The sequence below is a fragment of the Homo sapiens genome, chromosome 1 (assembly GCF_000001405.40).
Source record: "Homo sapiens chromosome 1, GRCh38.p14 Primary Assembly".
In the NCBI taxonomy this organism is placed as follows: Eukaryota; Metazoa; Chordata; class Mammalia; order Primates; family Hominidae; genus Homo; species Homo sapiens.
Genome location: NC_000001.11, coordinates 39,287,885 through 39,314,457, shown reverse-complemented (window position 1 = coordinate 39,314,457; position 26,573 = coordinate 39,287,885). Strand labels below are relative to the sequence as shown.

At 40.8% G+C, this 26,573-nt stretch overlaps 1 protein-coding gene and 1 pseudogene across 2 annotated transcripts in view, besides 1 other annotated feature; one reads left to right on the top strand and one right to left on the bottom strand.

Annotated features, from left to right (window-relative positions):
• The window catches only part of MACF1 (microtubule actin crosslinking factor 1), a 402,972-nt gene that overhangs the window by 172,681 nt on the left and 203,718 nt on the right, over positions 1–26,573 (bottom strand). For both annotated transcript variants that reach the window (NM_012090.5, NM_001394062.1), the window contains 11 exons: positions 22,420–22,548; positions 21,615–21,692; positions 20,839–21,000; positions 19,308–19,412; positions 18,576–18,671; positions 16,713–16,838; positions 14,096–14,248; positions 11,380–11,534; positions 4,762–4,888; positions 4,030–4,213; positions 3,458–3,627 (listed from right to left, as the gene is read on the bottom strand). In NM_012090.5, coding sequence (NP_036222.3) covers positions 3,458–3,627; positions 4,030–4,213; positions 4,762–4,888; positions 11,380–11,534; positions 14,096–14,248; positions 16,713–16,838; positions 18,576–18,671; positions 19,308–19,412; positions 20,839–21,000; positions 21,615–21,692; positions 22,420–22,548 — 1,485 coding nt within the window. The remainder of the gene's footprint in view (positions 1–3,457; positions 3,628–4,029; positions 4,214–4,761; positions 4,889–11,379; positions 11,535–14,095; positions 14,249–16,712; positions 16,839–18,575; positions 18,672–19,307; positions 19,413–20,838; positions 21,001–21,614; positions 21,693–22,419; positions 22,549–26,573) is intronic.
• Positions 9,539–10,555, top strand: HSPE1P8 (heat shock protein family E (Hsp10) member 1 pseudogene 8; annotated as a pseudogene).
• Positions 15,407–15,563: a silencer, noted in NCBI's record as "fragment chr1:39764567-39764723 (GRCh37/hg19 assembly coordinates)". NCBI's record gives its function as "represses an EF-1alpha promoter that drives an FKBP-Casp9 reporter gene in an ReSE screen in phorbol 12-myristate 13-acetate-treated (for megakaryocytic differentiation) K562 erythroleukemia cells {active_cell/tissue: K562(+PMA)}" and the evidence as "EXISTENCE:reporter gene assay evidence [ECO:0000049][PMID:32094911]".

Here is a 26,573-nt window from a genome sequence, read left to right as displayed (position 1 = left end):
TGTATGCATATATATATTTGTAAATATATGTTTTCTTTTTTTTTTCTTGAGACAGAGTTTCGCTCTTGTTGCCCAGGGTGGAGTGCAATGGCACGATCTCAGCTCACTGCAACCTCCGCCTCCCGGGTACAAATGATTCTCCTGCTTCAGCCTCCCAAGTAGCTAGGATTACAGGCACACGCCACCATGCCTGGCTAATTTTTGTATTATTAGTAGAGACGAGGTTTTACCATGTTGGCCAGGCTGGTCTCCAACTCCTGACCTCAGGTGATCCACCTGCCTTGGCCTCCCAAAGTGCTGGGATTATAGGCGTGAGCCACCACACCCGGCCTATGTTTTCTAGCTCTGTCTGCTAAGTGGGCCTATAAGCAATAATACTCCAACAACAATGAATACATTTGGTACCCAGATCTTAGTTTCTAAATAATATTCTCTGCCCAAAAGAATCAGAACTCCTTGGAGAAACAGTTGATTTCCAGGGTTGAGACTGGAAAAAGCAAGATGAACCTGGAAGATCTTATTTTGTCAAAAAGAAAGAACTTCAATGGGCATCATGACCCATGCCTGTAATCCCAGCACTTTTGGGAGGCTGAGGCAGGAGGACTGCTGGAAGCCAGGAGTTGGAGACCAGCCTGGGTAATATAGTGAGACCTCATCTCTATTTAAAAAAAAGAGAAAGAAGGAAATAACTCAAAAAATGATGGGGACATGTTAAAAGGACAAAAAAGCCAGCTTGAAGGGGCTTCCATTGGCTAACTTTGGGAAATTTTGAGCATCAAAACAATGAAAACAATGACAGTAACAAATTACACACCATTGAATAAAATAAGAATCCATGAGTATATATTGACATAAATAAATAATGAAAGAAGAAAGCAAGGGAAGGAGGGAAGAAAAAAAAAGGGAGGGAGGGAGAGAAGGAAGACAAACTACAGAAAAGGAAAGAAGGCCTGGTTTTTCCTTTTCCATAGAATGTACATGTTTTTTATGTAGAAGGAACGACAGAATTAGAAAAGCAGCTTTTGGCAACTATGATACTAAGAAGTGATTCAGTCAAGAATTAACAATGGATGCTAAAACTAGTTGGTGAAAATTTGATGAAAAATAGGATATTTACATTGTCTCCAGTACCTCCCCATAGGATACTCAGTAATTACAAAGGGAAAATAGGAACCAGAGATGAAAATTAACATCACCAGTAATGTCATATGTATCCTTATATGACACACTAATATACCAAGGACACAGTATCACTTCTGCAGGATTCCTGCCAAAATTGTAAGACCTAACACTAATCAGGAAGAAACCTCAGGTAACCACAAACAGAAGGACAAAATATTCTACATTTATTCTACAAAATAAATGGGCTGCACTCATAAAAAAAATGTTAAGGTCATGAAAGATGATGGAAAGTTGAGAAACTATTTCAAGTTAAAGAAATCTGAAGATACACAGCAACCAAATGCAATATGTAATCCTGGACTGAATCCTGGACCTTCCTTCTTGGGGTAGCTAGGGATGGATGGTATGAGGATGTAAAGAGCATTATTTGGTCAACTGATGAAATTTTAATGAGGCGTGAGCTTGGATAGCAGTATTATATCAATGTTTGTTTGCTTGTTTGTTTGTTTGCTTGAGACAGGTTTGCTCTGTTGCCCAGGCTGGAGTGTAGTGGTGTGATCTCGGCTCACTGCAACCTCCACCTCCCGGGTTCAAGTGATTCTCATACCTCAGCCACTTGAATAGCTGGGATTACAGGCACCTGCCACCACACCTGGCTACTTTTTGTACTTTTAGTGGAGATGAGGTTTTGCCATGTCGGCCAGGCTGGTCTCGAACTCCTGGTCTCATGCAATCCGCCTACATCAGCCTCCCAAAGTGCTAGGATTACAGACGTGAGCCACCACACTCAACCCGTATCAATGTTAATTTCCTGATGTTTATCATTGTTCTGTGGTTATGTAAGAGGCTGCCCTTGTTTTTTGAAGATGCACACTGAAGTATTTAGGAATAAAGGAGCTTCATGTCTGGAACTTACTCTCAAGATAAAAAAGGAATGTTATTATGTATAATATATAGAATAAAATGATAAAGCAAATGCACAAAAATGGTAACATTTGGAGACTCTGGGTGAAAGGTATAAGAGAATAAAACTTTTCTATATATCTGAAATTATTTTAAAATAAAGTTTTAAAAAGGAAGAGGTATTTTAGATGTATGTATGTATATATGTATCTTGAGACAGGGTCTCTTTCACTCAGGCTGGAGTGCAGTGGTGCAGTTATAGCTAACTGAAGCCTCAAACTCTTGGGTTCAAGCGATTCTCCCATCTCGGCCTCCCAAAGCATGCAGTCAACCTTTATTTCTTAGTGAGTTCTATTTTTCAGGGACAAATAGATTTTGTATCACCCTATAGAAAAGTAAAAAGCTTCCACATGAGAATTCCCAGGCTCATATGATATGCCTCATATTACCTCCCTCTCCACCAGTAAAAATCATACTTCCCTCTCACTCTTCTCTTCAGGTTTGGGGGGAAAAAATAGAAAGTTAGAAAAATCACTCCTCCTCATTAGCCATTCCTTTCCATCCCCTTTAAGCTCCCAGATCAAATTTAATAGCCTTCATAGAGCTCTCTCATACCATTCTAATTAGAAATGTTCTAGAAACACTCTAAGTTCCTACAGCAATCTTTGCTTGGAAATACACTAGTTACTATTCATGACATTTCTTATATCTTATACTGAAGTCTCCAATTGTAACTTCGACTTTTTATTTTCCTTTCACTACACTATAAGCCAAAAAACAAGGATCTTTATTTACTTTTCTTTGTATGCCTCAGAGGACTTAATAAAGCAAAAAATATTTGCTACTTTTACTTCAAGAATACTATCCTACATTTTCATAGTATTTTACTTTTTCAGGAAGCTCATTATATGTACTATACCATTAATTTTCAAAATAACCCTATATCGTGCATTGCCATCTCCATTTTACAAGAAAGTAAACTAGGGATGAGAGCTCACTTGCTCAAAGTCACAGACAGAGCATGTATCAGAGCCCACATTCAAATCAGAGTCATTCCTTATATTTATTGGTCATATGACTGAAGGTAACCAAGTCATTTAAAGTAACACAGGCACATAAGGGATAGAATAAAAGAGTAGCATCTCTACTAAGCAGTTTCAAAATACATAGCCCAAATATACTGCTTAGAAAAATTTACTAGTCTGTTTGCCTTCTCAACTCTGTAGGAAACTAATCAACATTTAGCAATACACATGGAGCTGAAATCACACTTCTCCACGGGTAAAAGACATTTATAGACTGCAAGAAGAACTCCTGAGAAGGACTGTCTTGAGTCTATTGCCTCATTTCTTAGGTGCCATACTCTTGCCATCCAATGAACTCTGAAAGCATTCACTCCACAACCAGCATCCACATGGCTCTTAGGGCTTACCTCTTGCTCTGCAATCCTTAATGCATTGTCCTGCCAGGCATCTCTGTCAGTCCTAGAGCTGGCTAGAGACTGAATTCGTTTGACCACCCTCTGTTCATACTCCTCCAGGCGTAGCCGGATGTTCTTCAACTCTGAAATGTACATCTTGGCCACAGTCTCCTCTTTGTCCTCTGTGAATGAACAAACACAAAAGACCAGTAAGCTCGACATCAGAGATAAGCAGACCTGATATCCTACTAATGAAAGCAAGGCTTTATTTAGGGAATCTTCTGCCTAATCCTACCTGATCCTAAATTTCACATACTGTATACTAATCTTTGAGAGTCCAAACATGTTACAGCCACAAGAAAATGTGATAGGTTGATGAGCAGTAATGACTGAAATATCAACAGACTTCTTCCATGATCTGATTTTGAGAATTCATCTATAAGTTCTTCTCTATCTCAAGTTCGTAGCTACTCAAATGGAAAAAAGTGGTGATGTTACTCTCTCATTTATATGAAGGGTTTCACAGCAACCCCTTGAAAGGCTCTCATTCTACTATTCTCTTTCCCTCTTCCCAGTGCACACACCATTCTCCATGGACTTCATCAGGTGCTGGAAGCGGGCTTTACAAGCTTCCACCTCCTCTTCCAAGCGCAAGCGATCAGCCACTGAGAACAGCACAGAGTCACGACTATCCTGCAGAAAGTCTTCATAGTGGGCCTGAAGGTTCTTCATAATCTGATGGCACTCCCCTGGTGCTGAGGATCGAAGCTAGAAAGAAAAAGCCAGAAGAAATTGCAACAGAATAAAAATGTAACACTTCCTCTTTTCCTCCATTTTACTGAAGTAACATATATACAAAACAGTGCATAAACCATAATCGTAAACATGTTGATTTTTATAATTTGAATTCCTCCATTTAGTCAGCATTCAGATTAAGAAGCAGAACATTACCAGCACCCCAGAACCACCCTTTGTGCCCCACTGGACATAACTCTTAATAATTGTTCACAAGTATTCACCTACTACATATTCTTATGCAAAAGACATGATTGTCTTACAGAGTGAGAAAAAGCCTGCAACCTTCTACCCTTGCCAAGAAGACCAAAGATGTTACTTATTCTAATTAGGAATTTCCTTTACCATTCAAATTGCTGCTTCTAGCTTGTAAGAACCTCAGGTCTCGAACTCTAAAATGGTATTCCTGAGTCCACTTTACTCCATTTGGGTGGGGAAAAGTCTCACAGTAATGAAAAAAGCTCCTTCTGAAAAAATCTTGCCAATGGAATGTAAGCCTGGGGTAAGGTTTTCATAATTACCTTTTCTAGGTTCCAGGTCTGTACAAGGTCAAGGTCTTTACGCAGATAGTTCCAAGAGATAAGGCTTTTGGTGTTAACATGCAGCTGATGCCAAAGGGCCATAACCTTCTGATAAGATTGTTCGACCCTAGAAATAACACAGAACCTGACTATTACCTTTGTAAGACTTCAGCTCCACATTAGAGACCTTCTAAGGAAAAATGTGATTGCCTTAGCAGAATTGAGCTTATATGTTGAGCAGAGAAAGGCAACAAGTCAAATACTAGCATCTCAGGAATTTTTAGAACTAAATTAATTGAGGCTGGGCGTGGTAGCTCATGCCTGTAATCACAGAACTTTTGGAGGCCAAGGTGGGAGGACTGCTTGAGCCCAAGAGTTCAAGAGCAGCCTGGGCGACATAGTGAGACCTCATCTCTATTTAAAAAAAAAAAAAAACTAAACTACATTAATTAATTGAGATCTTCAACTTGGATTTGCTACAGCATTATGCATATTAACGTTAGCACATATTTAGTAATCTCATAAATGTTACCTGGATATAATATGATGATTACAAGCCAGAGAGAAGAAATAACCAGAGAGAACAATAATAGGGAAAGGCATAAACAACATCCCATCCAGAATTGTTGAAAAAGGATTATATCAATGTTTAAAAACTGATTTGCTGTGTTCCAAATATTTACAAAAATGCTAAAATGTTGAGAAATTAATAGCAGCTTAAGAAATTCACCTGGTATATAAAAGAAAACTGCATGGCTCACACCTGTAATCCCAGCACTTTGGGAGGCTGAGGCGGGCAGATCACCTGAGGTCGGGAGTTCAAGACCAGCCTGACCAACAAGGAGAAACCCCATCTCTATTAAAAATACAAAAATTAGCCAGGTGTGGTGGTAGATGCCTATAATCTCAGCTACTTGGGAGGCTGAGGCAGGAGAATCGCTTGAACCCGGGAGGTGGAGGTTGCAGTGAGCCAAGATCGCACCATTGCACTCCAGCCTGGGCAACAAGAGCAGAACTCCATTTCAAGAAAAAAAAAAAAGAAAACTGAAGTATGAAGGGTTTGAGATTTCTTTCCCAAGCATCTCATGTCTAATTCAATCTTGATTTCAGGAAGACTTACAAATACACAAATACACAGACACACTCTCTTACATACCCACCACGTTACCTTGAATTTCTTCAAGTTGAGAAAAAAATGTGAGATATAAAGAACAGGATGGAAAACTAGAAGCCAGGACATCAGTTAAATAGGAGGCATTAAATCCGTAAGTTTAATCTTCCCTCTCTCCAAAACTCCCACTAAAATTTCAGTAGAGTTGAAATTCAAAGTTCAGGAAATCCCAAAGAAGAATAAAAATATAAAAAAGCAACAACAAAAAAAATAGAAAATAAGAGAACATTAGAAAATTAGTTCAGGAGGTCCAACATTCAACAAATGGGAATTCTTAAAAGCAAGAACTAAAAACAAGGAGAATGAAATAATTAAAGAAATAAGGCTGGCGTGGTGGCTCACGCCTGTAATCCCAGCACTTTGGGAGGCCGAGGAGGGCAGATCACGAGGTCAAGAGATTGAGACCATCCTGGCTAACATGGTGAAACCCCGTCTCTACTAAAAATATAAAAAATTAGCTAGGCGTGGTGGCAGATGCCTGTAGTCCCAGCTACTCGGGAGGCTGAGGCGGGAGAATGGAGTGAACCCAGGAGGCAGAGCTTGCGGTGAGCCGAGATTGCGTCACTGCACTCTAGCCTGGGCGACACGGCGAGACTCCATCTCAAAAAAAAAAAAAAAAAAAAAGAAAGAAAGAAAGAAAAGAGAAATAATCCAGACTGGGCAAGGTGGCTCATGCCTATAATTCCAGCACTTTGGAAGGCTAAGGCAGGTGAACCACGAGGTCAGGAGTTCAAGACCAGCCTGGCCAACATGGCGAAACCCCGTCTCTACTAAAAGTACAAAAAATTAGCTGGGTGTGGTGGTGTGTGCCTGTAGTCCTAGCTACTCGGGAGGCTGAGGCAGGAGAATTGCCTGAACCCAGGAGGCAGAGATTGCACTGAGCCAAGATCGCGCCACTGCACTCCAGCCTGGGCGACAGAGCGAGACTGTCTCAAAATAATAATAATAATCATCATCATCCAAGAAAAAACTTCTCCAGACCTGAAAGACGAGTTTCTAGTTTGTGTTCATTAGCATAATGAATGCAAAAAGACTCAAAGGTACAGCATCCCTTTTAAAGATTAGAGACAAAGAGAAGCACTTAAACACTTGCAGAGAAATAAAGATTTCTTTCAAAAGGTAAAAGTATCAGACTGTTCCGTATCATGATAGTGGTGAACGATAAACAATTCTAAGCCTTTGTCAAAACCAATAGTACTGCTTATGACAAAAGATGAGTTTTACTATTATGTAAATCTAAAAAAAAAAAAAGAGAAAGAATGAAAATGGCACTATACATCTAAACAAGAAATCCTGAAAGCTAGAAAGCAATAGAGCAATGATTTCAGAGTTCAGAGTAAAAATAATTTCCAGGCGGGCATGGTGGCTCACACCTGTAATCCCAGCACTTTGGAAGGCCGAGGCGGGCAGACTACTTGAGGTCAGGAGTTCAAGACCAGCCTGGCCAACATGGTGAAACCCTGTCTTTACTAAAAATATAAAAATTAGCCGGAAATGGGGGCATGCACCTGTGATCCCAGCTACTTGGCAGGCTGAGGCAGGAGAATCACTTGAGCCCAGGAGGTGGAGGCTGCCATGTGCTAAGACCATGCACTCCACTCCAGCCTGGGCAACACAGCAAGACTCTATCTCAATAATAATAATAATAATAATAATAATAATAATTTCAAAAAATGTATCTTGCCAGTTAGAGGAAGAAGAAGACAGACATTTTCAGATATAAGAGGTTTCAAAAAATTTACCTCCTACTCAGCCTTTTTCAGTAAGGCATTGGAGAGTGTAATCCACCAAACCAGGGAGTACACTAATAAATAAGACTTGGAATCTAGTAATTAGTGGGTCCACGTATCACAGAGACAGTACTGACTGAATCAGGCCTACAGAACAGGTCCGGACTAAAAAAAAAAAAAAAAAAGATAGAATGGTCCAGAATAAATGTTTCCAAAAGAAAAATGAAAATTGCCTGTGGTGTTTGGCCATATTGGGAATCCTTTTACAGTAATGTAGGAGAGTTTGGAGACAACTAAGCAAACTAAAAAACAAAACAATTACCCACTCCAAGGAAACAAAAATTATATAAGAAAGTAAATAAAACAGGGGCCAGGTGCAGTGGCTCACGCCTGTAATCCCAACACTTTGAGAGGCCGAGGTGGGTGGATCACTTGAGGTCAGGAGTTCGAGACCAGCCTGGCCAACATGGTGAAACCCCGTCTCTACTAAAAATACAAAAATTAGCCAGTCGTGGTGGCACACACCTGTAATCCCACTTACTCGGGAGGCAAAGGTTGCAATGAGCCCAGATTGCACCACTGCACTCCAGCCTGGGCGACAGAGGGAGACTCCGTCTCAAACCAAAAAAAAAAAAAAGTAAAGAAAGTAAATAAAATAATTTATTCATAAATATATTCACTCACCTACTCATTCATTCTTTCATTCAATAACCATTTATTGAATACCTGCTATGTGCTAGGAATGGTTCTAAGTGCTAAAGATACAGAGGTAAACAAAATGGACAAAAATCTCTAATAGGAGAGAATAAACAAACACACAATCTGTTAGGCAGTATTAAGAGTTCTGAAGAAAAATAAAATGAGTAAAGAAGACAGAGAGTGGCATGCAGTTAGTGGGGATGGTGGTCCATGAGGGTTCTAAGATAAACTGAACAAAGTGAGGGAGTGAAACATGTAAATATCAGAGGCAAGCAGGAAGTCCAAAGGCCCTGAGGCAAGAATATGCTGTCTGTGTGTGAGAAACAGAGGAAAGACCAGAGTGACTGCAGCTAAGTACAAGCAAGGAGAGTAGCAGAGGATGAGTTCAGAGAGGTAAGGCACAGTCGCCTCACAATAGTCCCCTAGAGTAAGATGTGGCTCAGCTTTAAACAACACATGTACTAATAAAACAAAAATAGCAACTTAAACAAAAACTGTGACATAACCACATTTGGAAAACGGAAGAAGTGTTTGCATATATGTGTGCATAGAAAGCTAAATGTTAATTTCCTAGAGTAAGAAGTTAATAGATAATTTCTGAAGTTGAAAACAAACAAGGAAATAGCAGGAAAAAATTACATTTGGAAATGTGGATTTATAACCCAGCAAAATCTGCTAAAACAGCTGAAAACACTTGACTCTGGAATGTGGAACTTTGGGAAAGGAGAGGTGATAGCTAATTTTTATTATAATAAACTTTGCAGTATAACCCAACTTTCTAAAATATGTACATATATACATATATATACACACACACACTTTTTTTTTTTTTTTTTGAGACAGAGTCTCACTCTGTCACCCAGGCTGGAGTGCAGTGGCACTATCTCAGCTCACTGCAACCTCCACACCCTGGGTTCAAGCAATTCTCCTGCCTCAGCCTCCTAAGTAGCTGGGACCACAGTCATGCACCACCACGCCAGGCTAATTGTCTGTATTTTTAGTGAGACGGAGTTTCACCATGTTGCTCAGGCTGGTCTCGAACTCCTGACCTCAAGTAATCCAATAACCTCAGCCTCTCAAAGTGCTGGAATTACAAGCGTGAGCCATGGTGCCCGGCCCATATATTACTTTAATAAAAATTAAAGAAAATCAGCTGCCATTAAAAAAAAAAAATTCAGAGTCTGAGACAGAGACAGTCATGGCAGGACAAACGTTTAGAAAGTTTCTTCCACTCAGGCCGGGCACAGTGGCTCACGCCTGTAATCCCAGCACTTTGGGAGGCCAAGGTGGGTGGATCACAAGGTCAGGAGATCGAGACCATCCTGGCTAACATGGTGAAACTCCGTCTCTACTAAAATCCAAAAAATTAGCAGGGCATGGTGACGGGCGCCTGTAGTCCCAGCTACTCAGGAGGCTGAGGCAGGAGAATGGCGTGAACACAGGAGGCGGAGCTTGCAGTGAGCTGAAATAGTGCCACTGCACTCCAGCCTGAGCGACAGAGCAAGGCTCTGTCTCAAGAAAAAAAAAAAAAGAAAGAAAAGAAAATTTGAAAGGAGTGTTGCTGAAACTGTAACCAAAGGAGGCATTATGCTTCCAGAAAAATCTCAAGGAAAAGTATTTCAAGCAACAGTAGTCGCTGTTGGATCAGGTTCTAAAGGAAAGGGTGGAGAGGGTCAACCAGTTAGCAGGAAAGTTGGAGATAAAGTTCTTCTCCCACAATATGGAGGCACCAAAGTAGTTCTAGATGACAAGGATTATTTCCTATTTAGAGACGGTGACATTCTTGGAAAGCACGTAGAGTGAAATAAGTCACTACTGAAATGGCATCACTCATAGGTGGGAATTGAACAATGAGAACACTTGGACACAGGAAGGGGAACATCACACACCGGGGCCTGTTGTGGGGTGGGGGGATGGGGTGGGGGGAGGGGGGAGGGATAGCATTAGGAGATATACCTAATGTAAATGACGAGTTAATGGGTGCAGCACACCAACATGGCACATGTATACATATGTAACAAACCTGCACATTGTGCACATGTGCCCTAGAACTTAAAGTATAATTAAAAAAAAAAAAAAGAAAGAAATGGCATCAACGTGAAGCTGCCCATTCCACTGAAGTTCTGAAATCTTTCATCATGTAAATAATTTCCATATCTCTTTTATAATAAACTAATGATAACTAATGACCCAGAAAAAAATCAACCTTTTTTTTTTTTTGAGACGGAGTCTCCCTTTGTCGCCCAGGCTGGAGTGCAGTGGTGCAATCTCGGCTCGACTCACTGCAAACTCGACCTCCCAGGTTCAAGCGATTCTCTGATTCTCCTGCCTCAGCCTCCCGAGTAGCTGGGATTACAGGGGCCTGCCATCACGCCCGGCAAATTTTTTTTTTTTTTTTTGTATTTTTAGTAGAAATGGAGTTTCACCGTGTTGGCCAGGCTGGTCTTGACCTCCTGACCTCAAGTGATCCGCCTCCCTCGGCCTCCCAAAGTGTTGGGATTACAGACATGAGCCACTGTGCCCAGCCCAATCTTTTTTTTTTTTGAGACAGAGTCTCGCTCTGTTGCCCAGGCAGCTAGAGTGCAGTGGCGCAATCTCAGCTGACTGCAAACTCCGCCTCCTTGGTCAAGCAATTCTCATGCCTAAGCCTCCCAAGTAGCTGGGACTACAGGCGTGCACCACCACATCCAGCTAATTTTTGTATTTTTAGTATAGATGAGGTTTTACCATGTTGACCAGGCTGGTAAAAAAATCAATCTTCTGAGAGTAAACTATTTATAACCAGGAGTTCTTTAAAAAAGAAATATCACTGAAGATACTCCAGCTGAACAGAAGTATTTATTGAAGATCTACTATGTGGCTGGTAGTAGGAGACTTGATATCTCCAATGAGAAGCCTCTCCCAGGAGGAACTTTACCACTGTGTTCAAAAACATCACAAATGCACACTCATCCCTCCACTGGTTCACCGAGGCCAACAGCAGAGGTGGGTGTACCAGTGGCAGCTGAGCCAAGTTACCTGCTGGCCATCTCAATGGCATCCTTATTGGGTGGGGGGATGAGGAAGCAGACTGACGGCACCATTGCCTCGTTCCCTGTGGGGCTGATCACTTTCCATTTGGTCCGCTGAGAATTATCTTCTAGCACACATTCATCATTTTTGCAAATAGTAATCTGAAGAGATAAATTTACCAGTGATTGCTAATGGATAAACCAACAACCCATTATTTCCTGGTGCCTCATCCCAAAGCTATCAAATCCTTAAGAAAAAAATCTGCTTAAGAAAAGATCTGCTATCACTTAGTGAGGGCTTCTGATTTTTGCCAAAAGATAATGGGTATAAATCTACAACACAGGAAAAACTGTGACACCAAATAAATCAAGGAAATAAGTATGTATTAAATACCTGTTACATGTCAAGTAACCCAGACTATGAAAGTTATAATAAGACTATAAAGGCTCAAGAGCGATCTCAGCACAAAAATCTACTAGAGTAAAAACTAATGGAAGGTGAATAATCAAAACATTGTTTTTATGATATTTCCTCTCCCTACTTCCTATCATCCCACCCAAACCCCTGAAAATGTTTAAGCATTTTGGAATTATCAAGTCTTTCTCTTAGAGGCAAGTGATCAAGACTATTATCCCTAACTTACAGGCAGAAATATCGAGACACACAAAAGCACAGTCCCATTTTTAAATTTTTTTTCCATTTCTTAATTCATTCATTCTTTTGTATAATACATATTTCTTGAGTGTCTACTATGTGCTAGGACACTGGAGATAAAAACAGTACAATTGGCCAGGCACAGCAGCTCACACCTATAATCCCAGCACTTCTGAAGGCTAAGGTAGGCAGGCTGCTTGAGCCCAGGAGTTCAAGACCAGCCTAGGCAACATAGTAAAACCTCATCTCTACAAAAAATAACAAAAATTAGCCGGGTATAGTAGTGCATGCCTGTAGTCCCAGCCACTCGGGAGGCTGAGGTGGGAGGGTCACCTGAGCCCAGGGAGGTCAAGGCTGCAGTAAGCCATGATAGTGCCACTGCACTCCAGCCTGGGCCACAGAGTCAGACCCTGTCACAAAACATAAATAAATAAATAAATAAATAAATAGGTACAGTGGTAAGCAGACAAGCATAGTCTGTATTTCCACATATTCTGGTGGTGTATGTAGTTATAATACTGTGTGACAAATGCAATTTACCAGGCAATAAAGGATATGACCCAGTCTTGGCTAGAGAGGTAAAGACAGATTACTCAAGAACTTAAAGCCACATTAAGGAGTTTCGGCTTTTTCCCAAGAGCAATGAGTAATTATTATAAGATTTAAGCATAGGATTGTTATTTAAAGGAAAAAAAAAACAAACAAACGCTGGGCGCAGTGGCTTATGCCTGTAATCCCAGCACTTTGGGAGTCTGAGGCAGGCAGATCATGAGGTCAGGAGATCGAGAACATCCTGGCTAACACAGTGAAACCCCGTCTCTACTAAAAATACAAAAAATTAGCTGGGCGTGATGGCATACACCTGTAGTCCCTGCTACTTGGGAGGCTGAGGCAGGATAATCACTTGAACCCAGGGGGCAGAGGTTGCAGTGAGCTGAGATGGCGCCACTGCATTCCAGCCTGGGCCACAGAGCGAGACTCCGTCTCAAAAAATAAAATAAAATAGGCTGGGCGCGGTGGCTCACGCCTGTAATCCCAGCACTTTGGGAGGCCAAGGTGGGTGGATCAAGAGGTCAGGAGATCGAGACCATCCTGGCTAACACAGTGAAACCCCATCTCTACTAAAAATACAAAAACTTAGGCGGGCATGGTGGCGGGCACATGTAGTCCCCGCTACTTGGGAGGCTGAGGCAGGAGAATGGCATGAACCCGGGAGGCGGAGCTTGCAGTGAGCTGAGATCGTGCCACTGCACTCCAGCCTGGGCGACAGGGCGAGACTTCATCTCAAATAAATAAATAAATAAATAAAATTAAAATTAAAAAAAGAACATGCTGGTGGTAGGATCCTTTGTGCACTAAATGGGGAGGCTGACACAATAATCCAAGTGAAAGAAACTTATGCCTTTTATTTTTTTTGAGACAGAGTTTCACTCAGGCTAGAGTGCAAACAGTGCGATCTTGGCTCACTGCAACCTCCACTTCCTCGGCTCAAGCGATTCTCCTGTCTCAGCCTCCCGAGTAGACTATAGCTGCAAGTCACTGTACCTGGCTAATTTTTGTATATTTTGCAGAGACGCAAGCTGGTCTTGAACTCCTGAGCTCAAGTGATCCATGTGCCTCAGCCTCCTAAAGTGCTGGGATTACAGGCATGAGCCTCTCCACCCAGCCACTTATGCTCTTAGGGTAATATTAGCAGGGATAGAAAAAGTACGTTTAAGGGATATTTACAAATTAGTACAAACTTGATGGTCCTATTAGCTGTGGAGGATAAGAGGGGTGGGGGAGTCAAGGATATCTCCCAAGTGCTACAAAGTACCATCTCTGTCAACACTTAGGCAACTGAGTAGATAATGATGCCAATCACTGAGGCAGGGAGCAGGTCAAGATTATAGTGTTGAAGTTTTTAGTTTAGTTTTTTTTTTTAAATGATAGGAGAGACTTCAGCATGTTTAAATTCTAATTTTAAAAACGCTGTAATTTGATCTTTTATCATCATAACCCTAACTGAAGGCTTCCCTTCTTTCTTCCTTCCCCCTGTGGCCCAGAGGTACCCTTTCTACCTCCTCACCTCGATCTGCCTGTAGTCACAGACAGCCTTGACAGAAATGGTGTTCTTTAACACATGGTCTGGACTGCGTGGTTTTAGCTGAACGATGGTTTTTGATCTCCCAACGAGACTGGCAACGGAACTCTTGGACTGTATAAGCTGCTCCTTTTCATCCTACAAAATGATAAGAAAAACAAAATGACATTAATGCTGCTACTCAGGGTGACTAAGTCAACAAAGAAAACTGAATACTCCACTCCCTCAGAGAATGTCATCTCTCAGTTAAGTAGGGATGGTTGGTGGAGCCATCTTAAAGACTTAGACAATGATAAAGAAAAAAGGAGAGAATGCTTCTGTCTTCTACCAAGTGCTTTCGCACTCAAACTTTGCAGCTTTCTCCCTGTGCCACTTTCAATGAACCATAAAGTCACATGCAAAAATCAAAATAAAAACAAATACTTCTAGCTTCCAAATACAGCTACAAAGCTAATAAAAAATCTATCTAAACATGATTCAGAGAACATGAAAGTTAAAATCAATAATAGGTATATTATTATTAGTCAATTTCTCACTGGTAGAAACCAGTTCTTCCCTTTCTGCTTAGGAGAAGCTAGTTATACTTATTTAAATTTTTAAAAATAATTATATCTCCCAAGCTCTACTCCAAATATTTTATTTTCCTAAATTGAGTCAAGCTTTCTAGAGAAAGATCTTAGCTCTTCAACCAACAATGCTGTTGGTGAAGGTATCATGACAAATGATTTAGGGTTTACCTCTTAGTATTTGCTGTGCTATATTCATATAAATTTGATTGGTTAGAAAGAAGTATCATGCAAAATTGAAACTCTCAAATCTCTGCAAATCCAATAATCTTAAAAATGAATAAACTTCTTGTTAACAAAATTGGTAGTAAACCATTACCAATTCCATTAAAGAGTAAAAGATAAACTTTGTCCATTAACCCGGATGTTTCAAGCCCATTTTGAGGTATAAAAGTCTCCCCAGAAGAGGGCTTTCTTAGGATGGATGTAGATGCGATGAGAGTAAAGAGTTAATAATGTTAGGAAATGCCATTAAAGAACTAAGAATATGCAAGTAAAGAAAAAGAAATGCTTAAATAAACTACCTGTGCCTGTCCCCGGGAGCATGATTGGAAGAAATACAACTTTAACTTATTAGTTAAGAAAGAGGAATGGAATATATCAGGGAGACAGCCACATTTCCATACTTGAGAGCTGGTCTACCCATTTCAGTTTCCTTGCAATAAGATGTCAATTTCTGTCTAACCCACAGCCAAACAGCTCAAGCTCCAGAGACCAAGTGCTCAGCGTGGTAAAAGTTCTGAAAAGAACCAGAAGCCAGGACAGATGCTCCCGAACCTGACGGACAAGCTGAGGAGCAGACCCAGGTGACTCCATGCCCCGATGACGCCGCCAACCCGATGACCCTGACCTGGAGAGGAGGGAACAGAGCAGCGACCCTCGAGAAGAGAAGATATGACAACCACTGCAGAGGAGTTACCCTATGACAGAAGGTACTCTGTGGGAGGGAGGAGATAATAGCCAATGATTATATTCCTCCTTCATACTTGCAGTACCTCTGAGAGAGACATTTTAGAGACAACATCTGAAAAGTCAGGTTTTCATCCTTCATTCCAAATTAATTAAATTAACAGATTATTTGCCCAGGTGAATGTAAAACCACTCATAGGTTTACAATACCTGAAAGTGTAAAAAAATAAAAATAAAAAAACTTAAATTCACAAATGCTCAAATTTTACCGACAAAAAAAATGAACTGTTTTGGGTTATTCTAGTTCTCTTATTCAGACTTTTCTATTGAAATGCGAGATTCCCCTTACTTCTCACAAAGGAAAAGTAAGTTCCCTATTGCATATACATTTCTATTTTAATTTGAGATGTAGCTTGAGCCTTGTCTTGCCAACTCTGTGTAATATACATTCACTAAATATAAGTAGTCTTTCTGCTAATTTAATTACCAGCACTCCTGAAGAAATAATTCATTGGAGAAAAAGAATATAAAATTGATTTGAACTAAATACTAAATGTAAAACTATTTCTTAAAAATTAATATTGCTTCATAAATAACTGCACAAATATTACATCTAAATAAGATTTTAATGTTTCTTTGAATTAAAATCAATTTTAATTATCATCCAAAAGAAAACTACCAAGGAGGAAAATTTTGACTCAGGTGTATTTCTTTGTTGTTGTTGTTGGTTTTTTTTTTGCATAAGAGAGTAAAAAAGAATTTGATATCAACTAATCCCCTTCAACCTTTTCTTCATGCTCAACACCTCATCCTTGGCTCCAACTATTACATTAAAATAAGAAAAATGCAAAGAAAGTACAATGAGCTCAAAGTGGCTCAGAGGAGAAGACTAGGCCTTTACTTCAATAACATACCCAAAGAAATCTTATTAGCAACTTATTTAAGAAAAGAAAAGGAAAAAAAGGAAAGAGACAGAACAACATCGATTAAACTCTATTTGAATGTAAGCCAAACTTTATTACAACAATGGCCCATTGCCCTGGAGCTTTCAAGGATATAAACAGCAGCAGCTGATATGGTTTACTCTCTTTCTCAGAAGTAATCATCCCCACTGAGGCAACACCCACCATGGAGTCCTGGAGCAGGTCTTCAAGGCGGGATAAGCTGGTGTTGTGGTCACAGGAATATTTTCGTTTAATGGAATCTTGGAGGTTCCTCAAGAATGACTCCAGCTCTCGTGCATCACTGAAGAACTATGGGAATACAAAGTAAGGATGCCTTCTGCTCAAAACATTAGAACACCGGAATATTAACTAAGAAAGAACAATTTTACTGTGCAGAGCTTAGCAAAGCTGATTACACCCTACTGCATTAGTGACAGTTTATTACAAGGACCACTGAAACATAAACCGAAGGGCTTAAAAAGCCATGCAGCAAAATATTAGTGCTGACTACCCCAAACCCTACCCTACCGAAAAGTTAGCCTGTTTCACCCCCTCAGAAATCACTGCTCTTTCCTCTTGACTTCTGGCTAGGTACAGCATTTGGCTGTGGGGTGTATTTCATGAAAAACCTAAGGCTGAGTGATCAAATGTTTCAATTCATACTATGAAATAATCACGGAAACTATTTAATTTAGGGGCAAAAGGCCAGGCGCGGTGGCTCACGCCTGTAATCCCAGCACTTTCGGAGGCCAAGGCGGGCAGATCACGAGGTCAGGAGATCGAGACCTTCTTGGCTAACATGGTGAAACCCCGTCTCTACTAAAAAAATACAAAAAAATTAGCCGGGCGTGGTGGTGGGCGCCTGTAGTCCCAGCTATTCGAGAGGCTGAGGCAGGAGAATGGCATGAACCTGGGAGGCGGAGTTTGCAGTGAGCAGAGATCGTGCCACTGCACTCCAGCCTGGGCGACAGAGTGAGACTCTGTCTCAAAAAAAAATCTAGGGCAAAAACAGAGGTAACAGCTTATTTTCTCCTCCCACCTCACCTGAAAATAAGAAGTACATTCTTTCTCTCTTTCTTTCTTTTCCTTCCTTCCTTCCTTCCTTCCTTCCTTCCTTTCTTTCTTTTCCTTCCTTCCTTTCTTTCTTTCTTTCTTTTCCTTCCTTCCTTCCTTCCTTTCTTTCTTTCTTTCTTTCTTTTTATTTAGACACTTGCTCTGTTGCCCAGGCTGGAGTGCAGTGGTGTGATCTTGGCTCACTGCAACCTCTGCCTCCCAGGTTCAAGTAATTCTCCTGCCTCAGCTTCCCAAGTAGCTGGGACTACAGGTGTGTGCTACCACACCCAGCTAATTTTTGTATTTTTAATAGAGAAGGGGTTTCACCATGTTGGCCAGGCTGGTCTTGAACTCCTGACCTCAGGTGATCTGCCTGCCTCAGCCTCCCAAAGTGCTAAGACTACAGGTGTGAGCCATGGTGCCCGGCCAGCAGTACACTCTTTCATGTTCTGACAGATTGAAAAAAGAAAAAAAAGGTCATAATATTTTACAGCTACTCCCATCAAGAGGTGGAGTCTATTTCTCCTCACCTTGAAGCCAGGCACAGCCACATGTCTGGCTTTAACCAAAGGCACATTAATAAATGTGACACAAGCAGAAAAAAAGGACTTGTGCTCTAGGACTCGCTCTCTCTTGCTGCTTATGAAACACAGCCACTTTGTGAAGAAAGCTGCTGGATGCTAGAGACACATGGGTTGGTGCTTCAGCACCTAGCCAACTCTCAGACATGAGCAATGCCATTTGGGACCAACCAGCCCCCAGCCTGTCTGCAGCCATGAGTAAGACAGGCAAGATAAGATGAACCACTTAGCTGAGCCCTGCCCAAACTGCTCACCTACTGAATCATGAGCTATCTAAATGACTATTGTTTTAAGCAACTAAATTTTAAGGTGGTGGTTTATACAACAAAAGCACACTAACGCAGATGTGTTTGTAACCTCACCTTTAACATACATATGTACACACACACACAAACACAGAAATCCATCACACCTGAAAATAAGCAGTATTCTCTTTCACATGCTGCTCAACACACAGGCACAGCTGCTTCATCCACTGCAACTGGGACTGGACAGCAGCACTGTAAGCCTGCAATAAACAAGCACACAGACAGAAGGGCTTGAGTTTAACAGACTCAATATATATGCGCAATACTATTTTCCAAGTACAACTCTGCTAATGATAGAGAAGCCAACAGAAAAGATGTGGAGATACTTGACTGGCATCTGCTCAATGCTTCCCACGAGTAAGAGGTGTTCCTTTAATCCAAAATGGTTTTGTTAGAGGGGGTTACATAGAAAAGGTCTCTTCCACACTCAGTTGTAAGTAAATGATCTAGGCAGCAAAACCCAGGCATAAATAAATTCCTCTGGAATTCTTCCACTGTTTCTCTTCTTTTGGCAAAGGCACCACACCAACAAGAGTCAAGTCAGGATCTGTCTGGATAGTTATTTGAAGAAATATGGTCCAAGTCACTTTTCCTCTGAAAGCTGTGAGCCAATGCCCCTTCTATTGTTTCTCTTAGTAGTTTCCTTAGACTAACAAAAATGTTTGCAGGCTTTTGAGGGACATAGGAACAGTCAGGAATGAAAAGAGAGAAGACCCAAGACAAATGTTCCCTGACACTTCCTCCAAGTCTTTCAGTGGAACAAAGTCTCTAATTTGAATACTTTTATAACAACAACCTCTCAGCATTTGACCTTCACACATTCTCAAGTCACACACCTCCACTGTCTGCTTGGCTGGGTGGTTCTCAAGTGAAAGTAGTTCTGCTGTATCTTGTAGAGAACGAAACACATCCTGTTTCTCCTCCAGTTCCATTGTCAACTCCTGAAAATGGAATTCAATTTTACAGCATAAGCACTCTTGGCAGTGGGGAGCGGATAGCATAAATAAAAGCTGTGTTCCCTATTTTAAAGGAACCTACAATATAGAATTGGTGGCAAAATGAGATGTATAAACAGTGCATGCCAGAGGATTGCAGAGAAGGGCACAAACACTGGAATTATTGGAAAATGATTCACAAAGGACATGGGACCTGACCCAGATGTGAGTAAAATGGGGGAACACAGAATAAGCATTGGACCAGAGACAAGAGATAACTTGGCTGGAGTGGACAGTTCCTGCACGTCAGTACCCACACCAGTACATGACACACCAGGACATGGGTATCAATGACTGGTTGGCTTTGCTTAGACTATTCAGCCTACAATGTCCTCCACTGACTCTAAATTCTATTAACTGCAGGACTCAATTTAAATAGCTCTTCTGTGAAGCTGGATACTGATCCTTACTATGCTTTCAGAGCACTTTCTTTATATCTCTGTTATAGCCTAATTTCAGTTCTCACACAGCCTGTTTATTGTATTATAGTATCCAATCTTCCTTCTTTAATTCAGTAGAATCATATGCCATTCTCCAATCAGAAGAAGCCTATATTTTTTAAGAACCCTAAATCAATAGAATTAAACTGTCTAAAGTGCATGTTAAAAACAAAAACAAGAAACTCCCTATTTGCATAGTTTACAAAATCTTTAAAAATCTTCTGAGTGTGAAAATACTAAAAGTAGCAAAAACTAATCCTAACTTGTCTACATCTTTCATTGAAAAGAATAAAAAGCAGTGTCCTATTGTCCAATGTTAAATTTCCCTTCCCATTTTTACAAACGAAGAGATTGAAACAAAAAAGTTAATAAATGAATTAAGGAGAATTCAGAAATTTGTGGAAAGTCCAGAGTATATCCCAGTTGAACAATACTAGACTAAATGCTTTGTCTAGATTAGCTTATTAAATCTTAATCTTTTATGCAACCGTTGGGGAATACGTGCTATTAGGGGAGGGGGTAGCTTTGAAGTGGTGCTATTATCTCATTTTATGGAGGTCCAGAGAGATTAAATGACTTCCCAAGGTTATAGAGCTAGTTAGTAGAAGAATAAGAATTTGAACTTAGGCACTCCAAAGCCTATAATCTTAACCACAATGCTGTATTGCTTCTGAAATGACTCAATTTACAGGTTGCTGCTCTATTCACCCAAGACACTGCCTTTCTAAATGCATTCTAGATAAATTAACTCTAGGGTTCTACTGTCCCTCTCTCCATTTACACTTCTCACATGCATGGATGCATTGAGTAGGGCCCCTATTTCTATCTAGCAGAGTGCAACTCCAGCCACCCAAGCTTTCAGCAGACTAGGCCCTGTCTCCTTCTGCTGCTGTTAAATAAGTATGACAGGCCTGCTACTGTGCTAGACTCACAGAGAAGTAATTTCTCTTGGCTGAGATATTGGAATTGTTGTCACTCCAGTCATATGCTAGTTCCTCCTCCTCCTTCTCATTCAACCAGATCAACTCAGCTGTAGCTCTGGAAACAAATTTATGCAGGCTCTGAAGGTGCCTCATCCGGAAGCTAGAAGTTTCCTAGACAAAGCAAGGATTATAAGATTAGACTGGCAGCCTTTGTATCTGTAGAAGATAGCACATTTGACATCAAAGGAGAGAATAACTCAGGAAATTAATTTGCTCTTAATCTCTGGATTTTTCCCCATGGATTCAAGTTTTGTACAAGTTTGATATAAGACTCCCAGAACTCTTTTCAATCCTAAGTAGAAAACAGAATTCATAAGGCCTTTGTGGTGCTCCTTGGATAAAGAATGGTCCTGGGCTGTCCTACTCTGGACAATCTTGATAAACAGGGATGAAAAACAACAGATCAGAGGGAAAGTCCCCTCTCTACAAATCTCAAACTTTTAGTTTTGGTGTCTCAAAGCACATATAGCCACACGTTTGTTGAAGCACAATACCTAGGATAGGTTCTATTTATTTAAAACGTTCAAGAACAGTAGTTTCTGACCCATTTAGAAAATTGGGAAAATGTTATAATAGATATGAATAAGTGCATAGTAAATGATATAACCTAATAAGCAGAAAACCAAAACAGGGCCAAACCAGGAGATTTCTGAATTACGGAAGAGAGTTGATTGGGGGGAACCAGACTCTATGAGCAGAATGTAAGAGAATCGGCAGAAACTCACCTTCAATTTACAATACTGTGTCTCCAGCTTTCCAAGAGTTTCAGCATAGCTGGTATGGAAATTCTGGGACATCTTTCCCTGATTAAAAAAGAATGAAATAAAAATACATTAGAGAAAGAGTAAGTAAACTACGTGTTATGGTTGCAACTATGCAAATATTATGTCTAGATAGAGATATGGATTGGTTGCTCTAAGAAAACAGAAGCTTAGACAACAAATTTCTGAGTCATATTTTATAACTTGGAGCAGCACTAAGTGAGCAACAGTTGAGCAGGGTAATTACAAACAACAGACCTCACTATCCTGTGTTTCCAGCAATTCTGGTAGGCTTCTAAGCAAAACCAATGCCTGATTCCCACTCAACTGCTTTTTTGAAGGGAAGAGTTGAAATATAAACTGGGAAGATAGAACAGTGACTGAAGGAGAGAGGAAACTGTGTGAATAGTTTCTCTAAACCAGCGCTCAACTGCAGGCAGATGGGGAAGTAAAAAGTGCCTGAATTTATAGAGGCAGAGGGCCTGAGTTTGGATGCTGCATCCACTACTTACTAATTCTGACCTCAGCTTCCAGTATCACTTTTCATTTTAGTAAAAAGGGGTTAATAAAAATACTTTTCTCACAAGTTTATTTCAAAGATTAACAGATACACTTCATGTGAAAAGGGAATTTGTCATAAACCGCTCTTCATCATCATTATTCTTTTCCAGAGCACCCTCCTCCTTCAATACAGCTTTATTGTGTGTACTGTCCTTTCATCCGTTCCAACCACGTCCCTCCTGTAATGTGGATTCTGAAGGCTACGCACCTCATACAACCTGGCCTCCTTGACACTTGAGCCCAGCTCTTCTACACTCGTATGGATGTGCTGCTGTGTTTCTAGCTGCAACTCCACACTAGGCAGGTCATTGCCCCACTCTGCTCGCTCCAGTTTCATCTGAAAAAGAAAAAATATATATATGACATAATTTACTGCTGGCTTGGTAGGAAAATGGTCAGAACCAATGTTAGGACAAGGAACCAAGGGGTAGAGGACTGAGCAAAAGGACATCCAGGCCATCTCCTTCAATCTACAGCCTCTTACACAAAAATTACGCCATCATCACCGCTAAGAAGCAGGAGAACAGAGCCCACCAATTATACAACAGAGCAGCCTTTTGCTGCTGCATTATTAGTATACATTCCTGGAGTAATCAACCAAAAGGGAAAGGGAACTTCACAGGCTTAAAATGCTTAACTTTACAGTTTAGGCATTTCTCTTTATGGAGTCTTTTCATTTCACAATCATAACTGATATAACAAAGAAGTATCTGAAAATATTTAGCTTCATTTCATGACATCAACTACTGGCCAATGGAAGATAATTTTAAAACAGGTTACTTTGGGATATTTTTATTTATTGTTACATGGGGAATATATTATGCAGACATAGGAAGAATTTAATATAAAACAAAAGGGTTAGAAAGATAAGGGCAATATCAAATTTGAACCACTATCATTGAACACATGTAAATAGTGCCCCTTGGAACTGCGGAATACAGTAGCCTTGCTTAAACTTAAGAGTTACGATTGCCAGGCGCAGTGGCTCACGCCTGTAATCCCAGCACTTTGGGGGGCTGAGGCAGGTGGATCACCTGAGGTCAGGAGTTCGAGACCAGCCTGGCCAACATGGTGAAACCCCATCTCTACTAAAAATACAAAAATCAGCCAGGCATGGTGGTGGGCGCCTGTAATCCCAGCTACTTGAGAGGCTGAGGCAGGAGAATTGCTTGGCTTGAACCCAGGAGTCAGAGGTTGCAGTGACTGGAGATCACGCCACTGCACTCCAGCCTGGGTGACGGAGTGAGACTCTGTCTCAAAAAAAAAAGTTGAGACTGGGCATAATGGCTCACTCCTGTAATCCCAGCACTTTGGGAGGCCAAGGTGGGCGGATCACCTGAGGTCAGGAGTTCAAGACCAGCCTGGCTAACATGGTGAAACCCCATTTCTACTAAAAAAAAAAATACAAAAAATTAGCTGGGCGTGGTGGCGCACGCCTGTAATCTCAGCTACTAGGGAGGCTGAGACAGGAGAATCGCTTGAACACGGGAGGCAGAGGTTGCAGTGAGCCGAGATCGTGCCATTGCACTCCAGTTTGGGCAACAAGAGTGAAACTCCATCTCAAAAAAAAAAAAAAAAAAAGTTACATCAACAATGAAAAACGAAGAATAAACTCCTCTGTCAATGAGAGAATAAAAAAAAAAAAAAAACAGATTTACCCTATAAAAAATACAAGACATTCTTCACAGAAATAAAAAAAAAATTCTAAAATTTATATGGAACCACAAAAGACCCAAAATAACCAAAGCTATCCTGAGCAAAAAGAACAAAACTGGAGGAATCACATTACCTGACTTCAAATTATACTGCAGAGCTATAGTAACCAAATAGCATAGTACTAGCCTAGAAATGGACACATAGACCAATGGAACAGAATAGAGAACCCAGAAACAAATCCATACACCTACAATGAACTCATTTTCAACAAATGTGCCAAGAACATACACTGGGGTAAGGACAGTCTCTTCAATTAATGGTGCTGGGAAAACTGGATATCTGTATGTAGAAGAATGAAACTTGATCCCTGTCCCTTGTCATCATACACAAAAATCAAATCAAAATGGATAAACACCTTAAACTATGAAACTACTACAAGAAAACACCAGAAATACTTTCCAAGACACTAGTCTAGGAAAAAGTTTCTTGAATAATACCACACCAACATAGGCAACCAAAGCTAAAATGAACAAATGGGATTACATCAAGTTAACAAGCTTCTGCACAGTGAATCAACAAAGGAAAGGGACAGGCCAGGTGTGGTGGCTCACGCCTGTAATCCCAGCACTTTGGGAGGCCGAGACGGGTGGATCACCTGAGGTCAGGAGTTCGAGACCAGCCTGGCCAATGTGGTGAACCCCATCTCTACTAAAAATACAAAATTAGCTGGGCATGGTGGCGCGTGCCTGTAGTCCCAGCTACTTGGGAGGCTGAGGCATGAGAATTGCTTAGAATCCAAAGGTTGCAGTGAGCCGAGATTGCGCCATTGCACTCCAGCCTGGGAGACAGAACAAGACTCTGTCTCAAAAAAAAAAAAAAAAAAAAAAAAAAAAAAAAGGACAACCCACAGAATGGGAGAAAATGTTTGCAAACTACTTATCTGACAAGGGATTAATAACTGGAATATATAAGGAGCTCAAACAACTCTACTGGAAAAAAACTAATAATCTAATTAAAAATGAGTAAAAGATTTGAATAGATATTTCTCAAAAGAAGACATACAAATGGCAAACAGGCACGTGAAAAGGTGCTCAACGTCACTAATTATCAGAGAAATGCAACTCAAAACTACAATGTGATATCATCTCACCCCAGTTAAAATGGCTTTTATCCAAAAGACAGGCAATATACAAATGCTGGTGAGGATATGGAGAAAACGGAAGCCTCGTATGCTGTTGGTGGGAATGTAAATTAGTACAACCACTATGGAGAACAGTTTGGAGGTTCCTCAAATCACTAACAATAGAGCTACTGTATGATCCAGCAATCCCACTGCTGGGTATATACTCAAAAGAAAGGAAATCAGTGTATCAAAGAGATCTGCATTCCCACATTTGTTGCACCACTATTCACAATAGCCAGAATTTGGAAGCAACCTAAGTGTCCATCACAGATGAATGGAGAAAGAAAATGTGGTACTTAAACACAATGGAGTACTATTCAACCATAAAAAAGAATGAGAACCTGTCATTTGCAACAATATGGATGGAACTAGAGGTTATTATGTTAAGTGAAATATGCTAGGCACAGAAAGACAAACAATGCATGTTCTCACTTAGCTGTGGGATGTATAAATCAAAACAGGCTGGGAAGAGTATTACGGGATCAGAGGGAGGTGGGGATGATTCATGGGTACAAAAAAATAAAGAATGAATAATACCTAGCATCTGATAGAACAACAGGATGACTATAGTCAAAATAATTTAGTTGTACATTTTTTTGTTTAATGTTTTATTTTTGAGATGGGGTATTGCTCTGTTGCCCAGGCTGGAGCGCAGTGGTGCGATCTTGGCTCACTTGCAACCTCTGCCTCCCAAGCTCAAGTGATCCTCCCACCTCAGCCTCCCAAGTAGCTGGGACCACCGGTGCGCGCCATCATTCCCGGTTAGTTTTCCATACAGATGGGATTTCGCATGTTGCCCAGACTGGTCTTGAACTCCTGGACTCACACAATCCGCCCACCTCGGCCTCCCAAAGTGCTAGGATTACAGGTGTGAGCTACCACGCCCAGCCTGTACTTTTTTTTTTTTTTTTAGATGGAGTCTCACTCTATCTCCCAGGCTGGAGTGCAGTGGCACAATCTCAGCTCACTGCAAGCTTCACTTCCCTGGTTCACGCCATTCTCCTGCCTCAGCCTCCCAAGTAGCTGGGACTACAGGCGCCCACCACCACACCTGGCTAGTTTTTTGTATTTTTAGTAGAGACGGGGTTTCACCATGTTAGCCAGGATGGTCTCGATCTCCTGAGCTTGTGATCCACCCGCCTAGGCCTCCCAAAGTGCTGGGAATACAGGCGTGAGCCACTGCACCCGGCACCCAGCCTATACATTTTTAAATAACTAAAAGAGTATAACTGGATTGTCTGTAACACAAAGGATAAATTTCCTGAGATGACGGATACCTCATTTTCCATGATGTGATTATTATGCATTACATGCCTGTATCAAAATATCTCATGTATCGTATAAATATATGTACCTTCTATGTACCCACAAAAAATTTTTTTAATTAAAAAAAAAGGTAACAGATGTAAAGACATTGCAATTTTCACCAAGCTCTCACTCAGAGTACAGTTAGCTGAGGGAAAAGATTCCAAAGGGTTTCAAATGAGAAAACTGTATGCTATTCAGTACGGGACTGTGAGAAT